The 16,662-nt window shown below is 40.7% G+C and overlaps 1 protein-coding gene across 25 annotated transcripts in view; it reads right to left on the bottom strand.

The window, feature by feature from the left end:
• IGFL2 (IGF like family member 2) overlaps positions 1 to 16,662 on the bottom strand; it is a 136,850-nt gene that overhangs the window by 59,606 nt on the left and 60,582 nt on the right. The window contains exons 3-5 of one of the 25 annotated variants that reach the window (XM_047438228.1): positions 12,545 to 12,692; positions 7,846 to 7,941; positions 6,720 to 6,932 (exon numbers count right to left, since the gene is read on the bottom strand). The exons of 19 other annotated variants lie outside the window; for them this stretch is intronic. In XM_047438228.1, the coding sequence (XP_047294184.1) occupies positions 6,720 to 6,771 (52 nt within the window). In that variant the 5' untranslated portion in view covers positions 6,772 to 6,932; positions 7,846 to 7,941; positions 12,545 to 12,692. Of the gene's footprint in view, positions 1 to 6,719; positions 6,933 to 7,459; positions 7,520 to 7,845; positions 7,976 to 12,544; positions 12,693 to 16,662 lie in introns of those variants that run through there. 5 more of the 25 variants (XM_024451381.2, NM_001002915.3, XM_047438227.1 and 2 more) reach the window with 5 other exon arrangements.

The following is a 16,662-nucleotide window of genomic DNA, read 5'->3' as shown; positions in this document are numbered from 1 at the left end:
ACCAGGCAAAGATTAGTCCTTTTAATAGATATCTATATTGGGGGGGAATGTATCTTGACCCTTATCTCACACAAAATGTGAAAATTAATTTGAAATGGATCATAGACTTAAATGCAAAATATTTCAAACTATAAAGCAGGACTTCCAGAAGTCAGTGTGAAGAGCATGGGTGCCTTCCTCCCGGCAAAACAACCATTTAACTGATGAAAATTATTTTTTTTATAAAAACAACTAGTTAAGTCTCAGGAAATTGTCCTAAGGGCATACAGCAAATAAAGAAATGTTTATTCAAGAAATTCCACTCAATCTGTATAGAGCAGCGAGAGTCTGAGGGCATTTAAGCCACAAATTATCCCTATTCCCCACATCCCCAGCCAACTCTGTGTAATTGAAGCTCTATGCTGGGTAGTCACGGACAAGAAAATGGGACTCCACCTCTCCCCAGCTCCCAGCCTAGGGCTACAGTTTCAGTTCAGAAAGGGCAGTGCACCAGCATCTTTTATCCTACTGTCTCCATGTTGCGGATGTGCTATATTAGTTAGAAATTGTGGCTTACAGCACCGGGGCTCCTTCTCCCATCCAGCCCCTCCTCCTAGCATGGAAGTTCCATGCCAAGTTTAGCAGGTGAAGCACACTGGGCTTCACTGATCCTGCCTGAGTTCACTCATGGGGCAGAGGTTCCACACAAGAAAGGGCAAACCGAGAAGAGGAGCAGCTACCACCCCCTCCCAGTGTTCTAGCTGTAGAGGAAAGACATCGCTGCAGGAGAAGCTAGCTGCTGTCCCTGACACCAGCTCCAGTCCAGTGGCTCAGCGGTTCTGCCCGGGGGAGAGGGAGGCCATCAGAACAGAGAGCTCCACAAGTCTCCCTAAAACTGGCTTTTCTTGAAAAGAGTGTGGAGAAGTTCATGCCTAAGAACACCGTACAAAAATATCTGAAATTCTGGTGCTAAAAAACCAAGAAGAGGGTGGTAATTCCATGACAGTAGTAACAAGAAACAAAAAGACCAGCTGGGCGCAGTGGCTCACGCCTGTAATCCCAGCACTTTGGGAGGCTGAGGCGGGCAGATGACGAGGTCAGGAGATCCAGACCATCCTGGCAAGCACAGTGAAACCCCGTCTCTACTAAAAAAAAAATACAAAAAAATTAGCCAGGCGTGGTGGTGGGTGCCTGTAGTTCCAGCTACTTGGGAGGCTGAGGCAGGAGAATGGCGTGAACCCAGGAGGCAGAGCTTGCAGTGAGCTGAGATCGCGCCACTGCACTCCAGCCTGGGCGACAGAGCGAGACTCCGTCAAAAACAAAACAAAACAAAACAAAACCCAAAAATCCAGGCAGAAGCTTAACAGAGAAAATCAGAAAAAGAGATAACTAAGAAGGGCCCTCCTCCTGGGGTCAGAGACAGCCTCAAACCCTGGCAACACTTTGTCTTGGCAAAAGGGTTAGACATTAAGCAGCCCACAGGCCTATTAAAAAGAAAAGAGCAATCAATTAACAATTAGAGGAGTCTAACAGATGCAAGTGATACCAACAGAGGCAGACGGGCCAGAAGCTTAACAGAAACATCAGGAAAAAATAGTAAAAAAAGAATGAGTTCCTGTCCTTTGCAGGGACATGGATGAAGCTGGAAACCATCATCCTCAGCAAACTAACACAGGAACAGAAAACCAAACAACACATGTTCTCACTCAGAAGTGAGAGTTGAACTGTGAGAACACATGGACACAGGGAGGGGAACATCACACCCAGGGGCCTGTCAGGGTCTTGGGGGAAAAGGGAAGCAGCACATTAGGACAAATACCTAATGCATGCGGGGCTTAAAACCTAGATGACGGGTTGATAGGTGAAACAAACCACCATGGCACATGTAACAAACCTGCATGTTCAGCACATGAATCCCAGAACTTAAAGTAAAAAAAATATATATATATATATATATATACACATATATAATTTGTAATAAAAAGGCAAAAGCTACCCCAAAAAAAGAACCCAGCTAAAACCATAATTATCTGGAGTAGTTAGCGATCCAGCACTCATGCCCAAGGCTGCACCCTCTGGAGAGCACTAATAAAATAGAATTGTGTAATTATATAAGCAATTATATAACTTGTAACTACTTATTAAAACAGTATAATTGCTTATTTCTTATCCTTTCTTCTCTTAACTGGTCTTAAAAGTAATGGCATAAAACAATATGTACATAATTGTATTGCTGGGAAAAATAAAGAATCTGATTTTAAAAGGGGCAAAAGATCTGAATACCTAGTTCTCAAAAGAAGACATACAAACACTCAAGTATATGAAAAAAGTATATGAAAAAATGTTCAACATTACTTACATTAGGGAAATGCAAATCAAAACCACAATAAGATACCTCATCTCAGTTAAAATGGCTTTTATCAAAAAGACAAGAAATAACAGATGCTGGCAAGGATGCAGAGAAAGGGGAATACCCATACACGGGAAATGCCCATCCAGACCCAGATGGTGAATTTTACAAAACAATTAAAGAAGGCTTAATACCAATCATTCACAAACTTTTCAAAAAAACCAAACACAACTTTCCAGTCTATTCTGAGGCCTGTATTACCCTGATACCGAAACCAGACAAAGACATCACAAGGAAAAAAAACTACAGACCAACATCTCTTATGAATATAAGTTCAAAAATCCTCAACAAAACATAGCAAACCAAATCCAGCAGCATATATAAAGAACGATACGCCATGACCAAGTGGATTTATCCCACGGATGCAAAGTTGGTTCAACATATGAAAATCAATTAATATAATACACCACCTTACTAGACTATAGGAGGGAGACACGTAATTCTCTCAAATGATACTGAAAGAGCATTTGACAAAATCTACACTCTTTCATGATAAAATACAAAGAACAAACTAGGAATAGAAGAGAGTTTCCTCAACCTGTTAAAGAGCATCTACAATAAACTCATAGCTAACATCATACTTAATTGTGAAAGATTGAATACTTTCCCCCTAATATCAGGGACAAGACAAGTATATCCACTCTTACCACTCTATTCAAGATAGCATTGGCGGTTCAAGCCATGAAAGTTAGGCAAGAAGATAAAATGAATTTAGACTGAGAAAGATAAAGTAAAATGATTTCTATTTGCAAATGACATGATTTTGTATGTTAAAAATCCTAAGGACTAGGCACAGTGGCTCACTCCTGTAATCCCAGCATTTTGGGAGACCAAGTGGGGAGGATCACTTGAGGTCAGAAGTTTGAAACCAGCTTGGTCAACATAGCGAGACCCCATCTGTATAAAAATAAAAACATAAAAAAATTAGCCAGGGATGGTGGCACATGCCTGTAGTTCTAGCTGCTCAGGAAGCTGAGGCAGGAGGATTACTTGAGCCCAGGAGTTCGAAGCTGCATTGAGCTATGATCACACCACTGCACGCCACCCTGCATGATAGAGTGAGATTCTGTCTCAAAAAAGAAAAAGAAAAAAAAAAAAAAACCTAAGGAAGCTACTATGACCTAAAGACTAATAGAAAAATTCAACAGGATTGTAAGATAAAAGAGATCAACATATAAAAAGCAATTGTATACACTAGTAAAAAACCATCTAAATATGAAATTAGGAATATAATTCCACGTACCAAAGAGAATAAAATACTTATGAATAAATTGAACAGAAGAGGTGCAAGATTTGTGCATTAAAAACAACAAAACATTGTTGAAAAGAATTAAGAATATGTAAATAAATGGAAATACATCCATGTTCGCAAATTGGAAGACTTAATATTGTTCAGGTGCCAAAAATCCCAAATTGATCTATAGAATCAATGCAATCCATATCAAAGAACTTTTGTGAGATCAAGTGTCACTCTGTCACCCAGGCTGGAGTGCAGTGGCGTGATCATGACTCACTGCAACCTCCGCCTCACAGGCTTAAGTGATCCTCCCACCTCAGCCTCCCAAGTAGCTGGGACTACAGACGCACACCGCATGCCTGGCTAATTTTTTGCATTTTTTGGTAGAGATGTGGTCTCACCATATGGCCCAGGCTGGTCTCTTAACGCCTGAGATCAAGCCATCCACCTTCCTTGGCCTCCAAAAGTGCTGGGATTACAGGCATGAGCCACAGGACCCAGCCTTCTCTGAAGAAATTAATCAGTTGATCCTAAAACTCATATTGAAACATAAAGGACCGAGAATAACTAAAACGATCTTGAAAAAGAACAAAATTGTAGAATTGATACTTCATGATTTCAAAGCTTACCACAAAGCTATAGTGACAGTGTAGGAGCTGACACACAGGATAGACATATAGATCAATGAATAAAACTAACAGTCAGAAAATAAACCCTTAGATTTGTTGAAATCAAATTTCAACAAAAGTGCTAGGACTATGAAGTAAGGGAACAAATGATTTTTCAACAAATGGTGCTGGGAAAACTGTATATTCATACACAAAAGAGTGGGCAGAAAGAGGATCTCTTCCTCATACCATACACAAGGATTAACTCAAAATGTATCACAGACCTAAATACAAGAGCGAACATATAAAACTCTTAGCAGAAATGTAAAATAAGCAACCCACAGAAAGACAAATACCACACCATCTCACTTGTATGTAGAATCTAAAAGAGTTGAACTCATAGAAGTAGAGAGAAGGGCAGTTACCAGAGGATTGGTGTGGGCAGATGGGCAACAGGGAGATAAGCAAATGATATGAAGTTACAGTTAGACAGGAAAGATAGGTTTTAGAGATCCACTGCAGGGCACGGTGACTATAATAAATAATAGTGTATTGTGGGCTGGACGTGATGGCTCATACCTGCAATCCCAGCACTTTGGGAGGCCAAGGAGGAGGGTTGCTTGAGCCTACAAGTTGGAGACCGGCCTGGGCAACACAGTGAGACATCGTCTCTATGAAAAACAAAATTAGCATGGTGTGGTGGTGCGTGCCTGTGGTCTCAGCTACTTGGGAGCTGAGGTGGAAGGATCACTTGAGCCTCAGAGGTAGAGGGTGCAGTGAGCTGTGATCACACCACTGCACTCCAGACTGGGCATCAGAGTGAGACCCTGCCTCTTAAAAAAACAAATGGTGTGTTGTATATTTCAAAATTGCTGAAGAGTATATTTTAAATGTTCTAGTGACAAAAAGTAATAAGTATATTAGGTGGTAGATATGGTAATTAATTTGATTTATCATTTAACAAGGCAAACATACATTAAATCATCATATTTTACCCCATAAATATACACAATTATTCTTTGTCAACTTCTTAAAAAGATTCCTAGCAGAAAACATACAAGTAAGTCTTAATGACCTCGAGTTAGGTAATATTTTCTTAGATATTACACCAAAAGCACAAGAGAGAAAAGAAAGAATAGACTTCATCAAAAATTAAAAACCTATGCACTGCAAGCAATAGCATCAAGGAAATGAACACAATCCACATAATGAGGAAAGTATTTGCAAATTATATATATGATAAGGGATGAGTATCCAGCATATCTTCTAAAACTCTTACAACTAAATAATAATAAAATAAATAACCCAATTTAAACATGGAAAAATCTGAATAAACCTTTTCTCAAAAAGGAATACAAATGGCCAATAAGCACATGGAAAAGACACTCAGCATTGTTATTTACCAAGGAAACGCAAATTAAAACTACACAGGATATCACACCCACCCACCCAGATGACTGTAATAAACAGGAAAATAGAAAATAACAAAGGTTGAAGAATCTGGAGAGAAATGTGAGCCCTCATACACTGCTGGTGGGAATGTAATTGATGCAGCTCTGTGGAAAACAGTTTGCCAATTCCTCAAAAAGTTAAACAGAATTACCATGTGGCGTAGCAATTCCACTCCTATGTGTACACCCAAGATAACTGAAAACAGGTTCTCAAGCAAATACATGTATACATATGTTTGTAACAGCACTATTCACAATAGCCAAATGGTGGAAACAGCCCAAGTGTCCATCAACAGATGAATGGATAAATGAATGCTGATACATGGATACAATTGAATTTATTCAGTTGTAAAAAGGAATGAAGTACTAATAAATTCTATAATGGGGATATGCCTTGAAAACATTAAGTTAAAAAAAAAGTTACACGAAAGGTCACTTATAAATGGTGTGATTCCATTTATATGAAATGTCCCAGATAGGTAAATCCATAGAGACAGAAAGCTGACTGGTGGTTGCCAAGGGTGAGGGTAGAGGGGAAAGAGAGGAACAGCTAAATGGGCATGCGGTGGTCGGGGGCTATGGAGCCAGGTGACTCGGAGGTAAAAAGCAATTCTGGAAGATGACTGAGCTACTCTTCCTTCAACTTGAGAGAGGAAGGAAGAGAAGGAAGGAGAGGAGGGAAAAGACAGGGAGGGGAGAGGGGAAGAGAAGAGAGGGGGATGTGAGACAGAGGGACACAGGGAGATGGGGAGGGGAGGGGGAGGGGGAGAGGGGAAGAGGGGGAGAGGTGGAAAGGGTGAGGGGTGAGTGGGAAAGAGAAAGAGAGAGAGAGAGAAAAGGGAGAGAGAGAAAAGAGAGGGAGAGAGAAAGAGAGGGAGAGAGAAAGAGAGAGAGAAGAGAGAGAGAGAGAAGAGAGAGAGGGAGAGAGAGAGATGGTTGCCCAAAAAGAAGTTAGTGAACACAGCAGGCATTGCTCATCTTGATGGAATACACACAACAAAACTCAGTCCACTGCCTGGGCTGCCCTTACTTACCCAGCACACTCCTGGGGTAGTCGGTCCTCATGCCTGAGACACTGAACCTCATGATTTCCTGGCGCTGAGAGCCCAGGAACTCCAGGCAATAGTGCCTGGGCTACAGGGCTGGGTCTGGTTCGAGGGCAGGATGATCCCCTCATCACAGTCCCAACAGATTGCAGATCTAGTCTCCACTCCTGAGTGTCAACTGGCACAACCACAGTCCAATATCTGGAAGAGTCAGAGCTGATGAGCTGGCAGGGGACCTCTGGGAGCCCCCAACCCTATCCACAGTGCTATAATCCTCCCTCCTTTCTTCTCCCTCCACTCACCACACCCATTCTCACCTATGGTCCCTTCTGAGTCTGAGCCCAGGAGTTCAAAAATAAAGATCAGCTGAGAGAAGAATGACAGTGATTCTGGGGTCACCAGATCATGATCATGGGGCACAAGATGATGTCTCTGAGTTTCTTTGGTTGCTGTAACAGCTCAGAGCAGATTTTGGGACTGACTCTGTGTGCAGGTTCTGGGCATTGGGCTTGGCAGGTGAGGAAATGCAGGGAGGGCTCTGGAAAGGGTTAAGCTTCTGGAATTTGCAGGTGGGGAAGAGAGATTGCAATGCAGTCAGAGAGGACACGGGTGATTATGAGGTGGGAAACCAAGAATTAAATAGGGAAGAGAGAATTAAGTTTGAGGTTCAGAGGTACATTAGGGATAACAGTAGGCATTAGCTCAACCTGGGGCAAGGGTTACCTTACCGAAGATTCTGGGCACCATGGAGCTTCAGAGCAGCTGATGGGACAGCAGCAGTGCAAATGGGTCAGTGACTTTATACAGGGACTTATGTAGGCTATGAACTTATCCACATTTAGGGAGGTGCCCAGAAGCACTGGCCTCTTGGAAAGGGTGGGGCATGAGAAGCCACAGAAAGCATAAGAAAAAACTGCATCAACAGCTTAGTAAGATGTTCCTGGACCTGTTCCAAGTGACTGCTACCTTCTCAGACCTCTCGAAATCTCAGAGTAAAGGCTTCCCTAGAACCTTTCAAAGCCGTGAGTGAGTGTCATTCTTTGAACTCTGCCCACGGCAAAGAGACTTGAAAGAGATTCCTTGGCTCTCACTTATCTGAGAGCATACTACTCACCAAACATCACAGCTGGTGATGAAACTTCATATTCATCCACCCTGAAGTTTCAAGGGGTCCCTCTACTCCCCATCTCAGTCCGGCTCCAGACCTGCACTATGAGAAACAAACGCACCCGTCCAAACCCAAAGAATGGACTCAGAGACACAGAAAACAGTGGAAGCAAGACTTTTAATGATGGTCTTGCAAGATTGAATGTCTGGTAGGCAGGCACACCCAGTACGGTTACAACAAGCTATTTATCCCCTAGTGCACAAGTCTCTCCCCTGGTTCCTCGTAGGCTAAGTACGATGGGGTCACGATCTTCCCAGACGTCGCCTATTGGTTGCTGGGTTGAGGCTTTTAGGTGTTTTCTTTAGGATTGTCTCACTGCATTTTGTTGCAGCCTATAATACATTGCAATCAAAGCCAGCTCGAGGGCTTTTCAAGTATTTGACTTATGACCTAGGCAGTCAGGCAAGCTGATAAGAATAGATAAAGTGAGCTATTTTGCTGGCTAGTAAACTTTCATTCTAGACTAAACTCTGGTTTGGGAGAGGGTAACTAAGGGGACCCCGACAAGCATGCACCAGCTATGGGCCTAGTATATTCTGTCCTTCCATAGTTTGTGGGCCTCAGCCTATCTGAGGTACTTTGTCTTGGAAATGGACCACCATATCCATTATTATAATTGTAGACAGCACTGTCTATAATTCTTCAGAGTCATTTAGGGGAAACTGTGAAGATGCAGCATAATCTAGAAAAAGAGCAGGGGCTGTAAAAACCCTGCCAGGGAGAACAGAAAAGGAACAGACAGTGATAAAATAGACATCTGGGATTCATAGAATAGATGGAAAGGCAGCCCCTTTTTGTTGTTGTTTCTGGAGTGCTTTGTCCAAGGAAACGCTCCTTCTGTGTTTCTTACTGTTATTTTATTGTCACCATCACTATTATTTGTGTCACTGGATACCATGTGGGCTATTATTAGAATGCGCTCCTGTGTTTTCCATTGACTTCCTTCCCATCCCACAGTGAGATAGGTGGGAGGGTGAGACAGAGATCAGGAGAGGTGTTAGGGCTTTATAAAAGTGCATTGTTAGTAGAAGAGTTCTGGACCTGATAAGTGAATTTAGAAAGGTTGTAGCGTATGAAACACACAGAAGTCAATTGTATTCCTTTATACTGGCAAGAACTAGTGGATACAATAATTTAAAGAAAAAAAATGCCATTTACAATACCCCCCTCCCCAAAAACTGAACTGGTATACTGTAAATCTAGGAGAACATATAAAGGATGTGTACGATTAAAGTATTCAAGGAAACCTTAAATACAGAGTGGTATATCATGTCGTGGTTTGGAATCTGTAATTTAGGTAAGATGCCAATTCTTTCCAAATTATCTACAGATTTAACACAATTCCAATCAAACCCAAGCAGGATTTGTCTGAGAGAGAAACAAAATAACTCTAGAATTTATATAGAAAAGCAATGGAAACTAGAATGGCCAACACAATTTTGGATGAGGAAAGATGGTAGAGGACTCACACTATCCAATTTCACAATTACTCAAGCTACAGTAATGACAACAGTGTAGTATTGGCAAATGGATAGACATGGATAGACACATAGATCAAAGGAACAGAATAGGTTCCAGAAATAAACCCAAACAAATATAGTAAATTGTCTTTTGGCAAAGATGTAAAGGCAATTCAATGGGGGAAAAGATAGTCATTTCAACAAATGGTGTGAGACAATGGGCATGCATATGAAAAAAAAAAAGAAGACTTCTACCAAAGCTCACACTCTATACAAAAGTTAACTCCAAATGGTCTAGATATGAAAAGTAAAACTACGTATTTCAAGGAGAAGGCATCAGAGAAAACATTTATATCTGGGAAAAGACATCAAAAGCATTATCCATTTTTTAAAAACAGATTGGACTTATCAAAATTTTAAAGTTAAACTTGATGAACAAATTGTTAAGTGAAGCAACAGACAGGCTACCAACTGCAGAAAGTGTCTGTGAATCACATCTCTAACATAGGACTTGAATCCAGAGTATATGAAAAACTCTCAAAACTCAAAGTGAAACAACAAACAAAATCATTAAGCATCGGCAAAATATCTGAACAGATGCTTTACAAAAGAGGACATACAGATAGCAAATAAGCACATGAAAAGTTGTTCAACACCATTAGCCATACTGGAACTACAAATTAAAACCAGTGAGATACTATCTCCCATCTACTAGAATTGGCAAAATTTAAATATATATATTAAATAAATAAATAAATAAATACACACACACACACACACACACACACACACACACATATATATGAGTGTGTCCTTAATTCTCTACCAGTGAGGGAAGCTGGAAGCAAGATGGGAAGGTGGAGAGAAGAAACCCTGAAAGGAACTAAGAGTTACTGGAAGGAGGGCTTTAATCTGGTGAGTGGGTCACTCACTGGTAGGTAAGTCACGTGTGGAAACCTGTTTGGGGTGTTGCAAGGATTGACTGTGTTGGACTGGACGAGGGAGGGCCACTGGGGGTGTAAGTGAAAAAGTGCCGGAGTATGTGTATTTAGATATTATGAAATTATACACAAACATATATGAAAGAGAGAGAGAGAGAATATCGACAATACCAAGTGCTAACAAGCAAGTAAAGACACTGAATTTCTCATATTTTACTGATGGAAATGAAAATGGTATATATATATAACCCCGAAAAACATTTTGGCTGTTTTTATAAAATTATACATTTACCATACAACCCATCATTCACACTCCTGTGTATTTATCCCAGAGAAATGAAACTTATGTTCCCACCAAAAAAGCACAATCGTTCATAGTATTTTACTTGTAATAGCAAAAAAGTGGAAACAACTCAAATATCTATCAACAGGGGAAATGGGAGACACACCGTGGTACACACACACAATGGAAACTTTTGAGCAATAAAAAGACAAGGAACTATTTACATACACCATGACTTGGCAAGATCTCAAAGGCACCGTGTCAGATACAAGAAGTTGGTCTCAACAATTACATAGGTAAGAATCAACTTAGCCTTTCCTGTGACACTCAGGAAAGGCAAAACTATAGGAAAGAGTGAATGCCAGGGGTTGGGGTTGGGTTTGGGGTGATGGAACTGTTCTGTAACCTGATTTTGATCGTGACTACATGAATCTATACCTGTGTTTAAATCCATTAAGTTGTGCATAGAAAACAGTCAACTTACTGTATGTTTTTAAATAAAATAAAATCAGGGTGTGGAAACTGACCTTTGTATTCACTTATTTATTCAGAAATAATTTTGAATACATATTTTATACTAAGTGCTGTTCTAGCTGCAAAGAATATAGCAGTGAGCAAAATAAGGGGTTTAATTTTGTTTAGAAGACACAGAAAATAAACATCGAGTAAGTATATTTGATATGATATGATATGAGATATGGTATGATATGATACGATATGATACGATATCAACCAATGATGTATGCCATGGAAAAAATAACAAAGGAGTTTAGGAGATAGAGAATTACGTGGACAGGTATCAGCAAGTCATGACTTGAGGGTCGACTGCCAGAAGCTAAGAATAATTGTGTTGTATCAATGGTCAAAAAGATCAAAAGAGGAGTAACATTTCATGACACATTTAAAATATATGAAATTATATGAATTATATGAAGTTGGCATTTCAGTATCCATAAATAAGGTTTTACTGGAACACAGCCATATTCACTCATTCATTCATGTATTGTCTTCATGCTTCTTCACTACAATGGCAGAACTGAGTGGTTGCAGAAGAGACTTATGTTTTGCAAAGCCTGACTCTTTACATAAAAAGTATGCCAACCGCTGCTGTAAACAATGCTAAGTGAAGGTGGTCAGGGAAGGCCTCTGTGATGAGTTATTTTCTGAGCAGAGGCCTGACAGAGGTGAGAGGTGGGCCCACAGGTTACTGGAAGAATCCCCTAAGGCTGTAGCCCCAGTTGGGGTTGCCTGCATGGGGCATTCAACAAATAACAGAGGCCACGTGTTGGGTCTGAGTGAGGGAATGTGAAGTGGCAAGTGATGGGTCACAGTAGACCAAGGGCCTGTTTATATAGCTCAGTAGGCCACTGTGCACAATCTTGATTTTCTCTGAGCCACAGGGAAGCCCTTGGAGGGGGTTTGAGCAGAGACAATATCTATAGTGCCTGGCAAATGGGAAGGGGTTTATAAATGTGAGCTATTGTTATTACCAACAATACCATCTGATAATACAGTTGACTCTTGAACAATGTGTGGATTGGGGTGCTGACACCCTTGGGCAGTTGAAAATCTGCATGTAATTTTTGATTTCCTGAAAATGTAACTACTGGCTGGGCCTGGTGGCTCACACCTATAGTCCCAGTACTTTGGGAGGCTGAAGCAGGAGGATTGCTTGAGCCCAGGAATTCAAGGCTGGAGCGAGCCATGATTGCACCACTGCACTCCATCCTAGGTAACAGAGTGAGACTCTTGTCTCAAAAAAAAAAAAAAAGAAGAAGAAGAAAACAAAAAACGTAACTACAAATAGCCTACTGTTGATGGGCAGCCTTACTGATAACATAAACAGTAAATTAATACATAGTTTGTATATTCTATGTGTTATACACTACATTCTTACAATAAAGTAAAATAGAGAAAAGAACACGTTATTAAGAATCACGAGAAAGAGAAAATATATTTACTATGTGTTCAGTGGAAGTGGATCATCATAAAGGTCTTCATCCTTGTCTTCACACTGATGAGGGTGATGAGGAAGAAGAAGCATTGGTCTTGCTGTCTCAGGGGTGGCAGAGGTGGAAGAAAATACAAATGGACCTGCATAGTTCAAGCCTGTGTTGTTCAAACATCAATTGCAGTAACATGTAACAGTCAACCCCTGCATTTCCACCCAGCAACCTCACAGAGCCAGTGCATTTATAGGAGTTAAATGAAATTTTCTCTCATTTTGTAATGTACAGGTATTCTTCACTATATAAACTTACACTATAACAATATTTGCTGTGAAGGCTTGACAGTGATAAGCTAAATGAGATTATCTGTATCAAAAGCTGTTATAATGTGCATGTAGAAGCCAGTGGAAGCTTTTAAATTGGCAGAAGTACACGCAAAAGGATGCAGAGTGCAATTAGCCAATGTCAGCAGCTCTCTGGGCTTGTCTGTACATACAGAGCAGTATCTCTCATCTTCCCTACCATTTTCCAGAGGGTTTCACCCAGCATGGGTCCCAGTAATAATATCTGTCAGCCACCAGTCGTGCTGCCTACTAAAGTCCAATTTAAATAGTCTCTTTCATATAATAATTTAAACATAGATAGATAACATACTTGTATATTTATATTACATCACAGTGCATTGTTTTTTCATTGCAGAAGGAATAGATAATTTGATTCAGATATTACGCAACGTATTTCTTACTTCAGATACCCATACTCACCAGTGAGTAAATGTTAACAAAGAATAACTCTTCTCAATGCTATATTTCACGTAGAAACCCTGGATAGACTGCTAGAAAGCTTTTTAAGAGTATTTTTGTAATGTTTGAGGAAATTACCTGGTGGTATTAACTGGGCTAGGAACATTATTATTTTTGTCACTTAAAATAATAGAATGCAAGTTTCTACATTCTGAAAATTTTCCATCCAACATACTTCCCAAGATGGATTCACTTGGCATGATAAGGGGTGTGTGTGGGGTCCCAGTTTACATGAACTTTATACACACATTTATGTTATTGGATGCTTGTAAGTCATTATTTCATTGTGCTTAAAGAGGAAACTGTAGCTCAGAGAGGTTAAGTAAATTTTTAGAATTCCACAACTGGTAATGGTGTACCTGGGTCCCTAAAGTCATGAGAGAGAATTATGAGAGTATTATTGGAAACTTCAAAGGTACTGAAGCCAGAATCTGCTAACAGCACTGATCTCTGAGGAGAGCAAATGAGCAAGGGAGGGGTGAGGTAAAAGGAGGAGAAGGATACTTTATTTGTAACTTTCAAAAACAGAAGTTTTGTTCTTTGCATGCATATCTTTGATAATTTAGGGTGAATTCGGGTTGGGCAAATACCCAGGAGACTGACCAATGGCAAGACAGTGACAGAGGTAAGCATGAGTCCTGTGGGATGCATAGAGTGAGTGCTTAATTCTCTATCAGTGAGGGAAGTTGGAAGCAGGGTGGGAAGATGGGGAGAAGGAGAAACCCTGAAGGGAACTAAGAGTTACTGTGAGGAGGGCTTCAAGCAGGTGCTGGTAGGTGAGTCATGTTGTTGAAGCCTGTTTTGGGTGTTTCTAGGAGTGGCTGTTCAGCTGGATGACAGAGGGCCACCATGGGTGTAGGTGGAGAAGGTGCTAGAGGGAAAGGCAGGCCCAGGTAGTGAAGGGCCTTGTGGGATGAGCTGGGAGCCTGGGTTCCATCCTAGACATGGTGGGGAGTCGTTCAATAATTTTAAGCAGTGAAACTCATGACCAGATTTGCATTCTTCTAAAACCAGGCCCCACTCTGTGATCCTGGCGTGTCTTCCCAGACACCCGGGACTATCACAGTCACCACTGCAGCAGGGCAGCGTTTTCCGGCACACTATTATCACCTTGCTCATGTGTTTATTTACTTTGCAAAAATATTGGTTTGTTGGTGTCAGAGACAATTTCCCATGGATCTCTTGCATTTTTGCTGGCCTGGCAGTGAGGCATTGACTGTTCTTTTGTTCCACACTCTTTTCAAGGATGTTTGTGTAGTGAACTGCCTTGGAAGATAGAGGTAAGGTTTCCCTTTAGAGCAAAGAATACTTGTTTACTGTCCTGTATAAAAATAATACTCTCTTCCTCCAGGTCACTTAGGCTCTGATAAAACCCTAATAATTTAGATTCTGGTAAAATGCTTTCTCTTAATGGCAGAGCTTGTTAAGAAGAACAGAATACTCTGGTGTGTTTCACAGCGGTTACTTTCCCCCTTCCCACTTCATGCCAGACCATGAAGGAGATTTTTCTCCCATATTCACTGTGAGAACCTGATAGGGTTCCTGGAGGTAAAACTCTTAGAAAAGTGCAGAGGCTCCCCTTAGACTGGGCCCCCTGGAGTTTTTAACTCTCAGACTGCTCCACCCTGAGCCTCCAGGAATTCATTCATTAGACTTCATGTTTTCCTGTCCTGGTACTGGTTCCCACAGGGGTTTCTGGTCATGGGTTTCTGTTGCAGTAGTTTTGATTCTCTGTATCCAACTGCCTGTCAACAAATCGTAGGGTAGTAGTTTGCTCTGTGATCCCACTTATCTAAGAGTTGTTAATTTTTTACTTTGTTCAGTATTTTTTCTGTTAAGATGGAGCGATGAGTTCCAAGCCTCTTACATGCTTGACTAGAAACTGGGAGTCCCAGAGAACATTTTCTTCAGAGATGAGGTCTCGCTATGTTGCCTACGTTAGACTTGAACTCTTTGGCTCAAGTGATCCTCCCACCTTAGCCTCCTGAGTATTTGGGATTACAGGCATGTGCCGCTGTGCCCAGCTCAAAAACCTACTTTTAATAACGTTCATCCTCTGGAAGCTGAGACTTTCTTTATGACCTAACATATGATCAATTTAGCATAAATGTTCTATGTAGACTTGAAAAACATGTAAGTTCTACCATTTTGAGATATATATATATATATATATATAGGCTGGGCGTGGTGGCTCATGCTTGTAATTCCAGCACTTCGGAGGCTGAGGTGTGTGGATCACCTGAGGTCAGTTCAAGACCAACCTGGCCAACGTGGTGAAACCCCGTCTCTACCAAAAATACAAAAATTGGCCCAGCATGGTGGTGCACACCTGTAATCCCAGCTACTCAGGAGGCTGAGGCAGGAGAATCGTTTGAACCCAGGAGGTGGAGGTTGCAATGAGCTGAGATCATGTCACTGCACTCCAGCCTGGGCAACAAGAATGAAACTCCGTCTCAAAATATATATGTGTGTGTGTGTGTGTGAGTGCGTGAAATATATGTGTATCTCATACTATATATACATATATACATATACACATATAAATATATACACACATATAAATACATACACACATATAAATATATATAGACATATACACATATAAGTTTGGTTATGTGTGTTAGTTGTATTGTTCAAATTTTTAGCCCATTCTGATTTTTTGTTCTCCTTATTACATAAGCTATCCCAAAAAGTGTATTAAAGTCTTTCACCACAGTTGTGAACTTGCTTATTTCCACTTTTATTTTAGTTACTTTTTTCAAGCTAAGTAATTAGGTATATTCAGATTCATAATTATTATATGTTCCATTTGGATTGATCCCTGTGTCATTATTACTTGTCCTGCTTTATCTCTAGCTTTATCTTTTGCATTAAAGCCTACCTTGGTATTCACTTAGCTACAGTAATTTTCTTTTGCTAGTGTTTGCATGATGTATCTTTTCTACATACTAATTTTTAACATTTCTGGAACCTCATATGTAACATAGATTTCTTACATGTGCATAGAGGTTCTTTCTTAAATTCAGCCTTAAAATCTTAGAATTCAATTTGAATGATTTCGTTTTTAAAAAAAAAAAATTGGTTTTGATTGGGGAGAGGAGCTGAGATGGCCAACTAGATGCAGCCAGGAAGAGCTTCTCCCACCAAGGGACTGACCATCAAGAAGACCAGCATACACCAAGCAGATCTTCGAAAGGAAGGCATTGAGAGTGGAGTGAGGGAGGCAGGCCCTCAGCTGCAAGGGGAGGAAGCTGGAAACCCTGCACAGGGTTGCTGAGCATGAGGACTTGTTCCTGGCCCTGAACAGCTCCTGGGGAAGTGGGGAGT

Source organism: Homo sapiens, chromosome 19 (assembly GCF_000001405.40).
Source record: "Homo sapiens chromosome 19, GRCh38.p14 Primary Assembly".
NCBI classification, from domain to species: Eukaryota; Metazoa; Chordata; class Mammalia; order Primates; family Hominidae; genus Homo; species Homo sapiens.
This window is presented reverse-complemented; position numbering and strand designations above follow the sequence as displayed.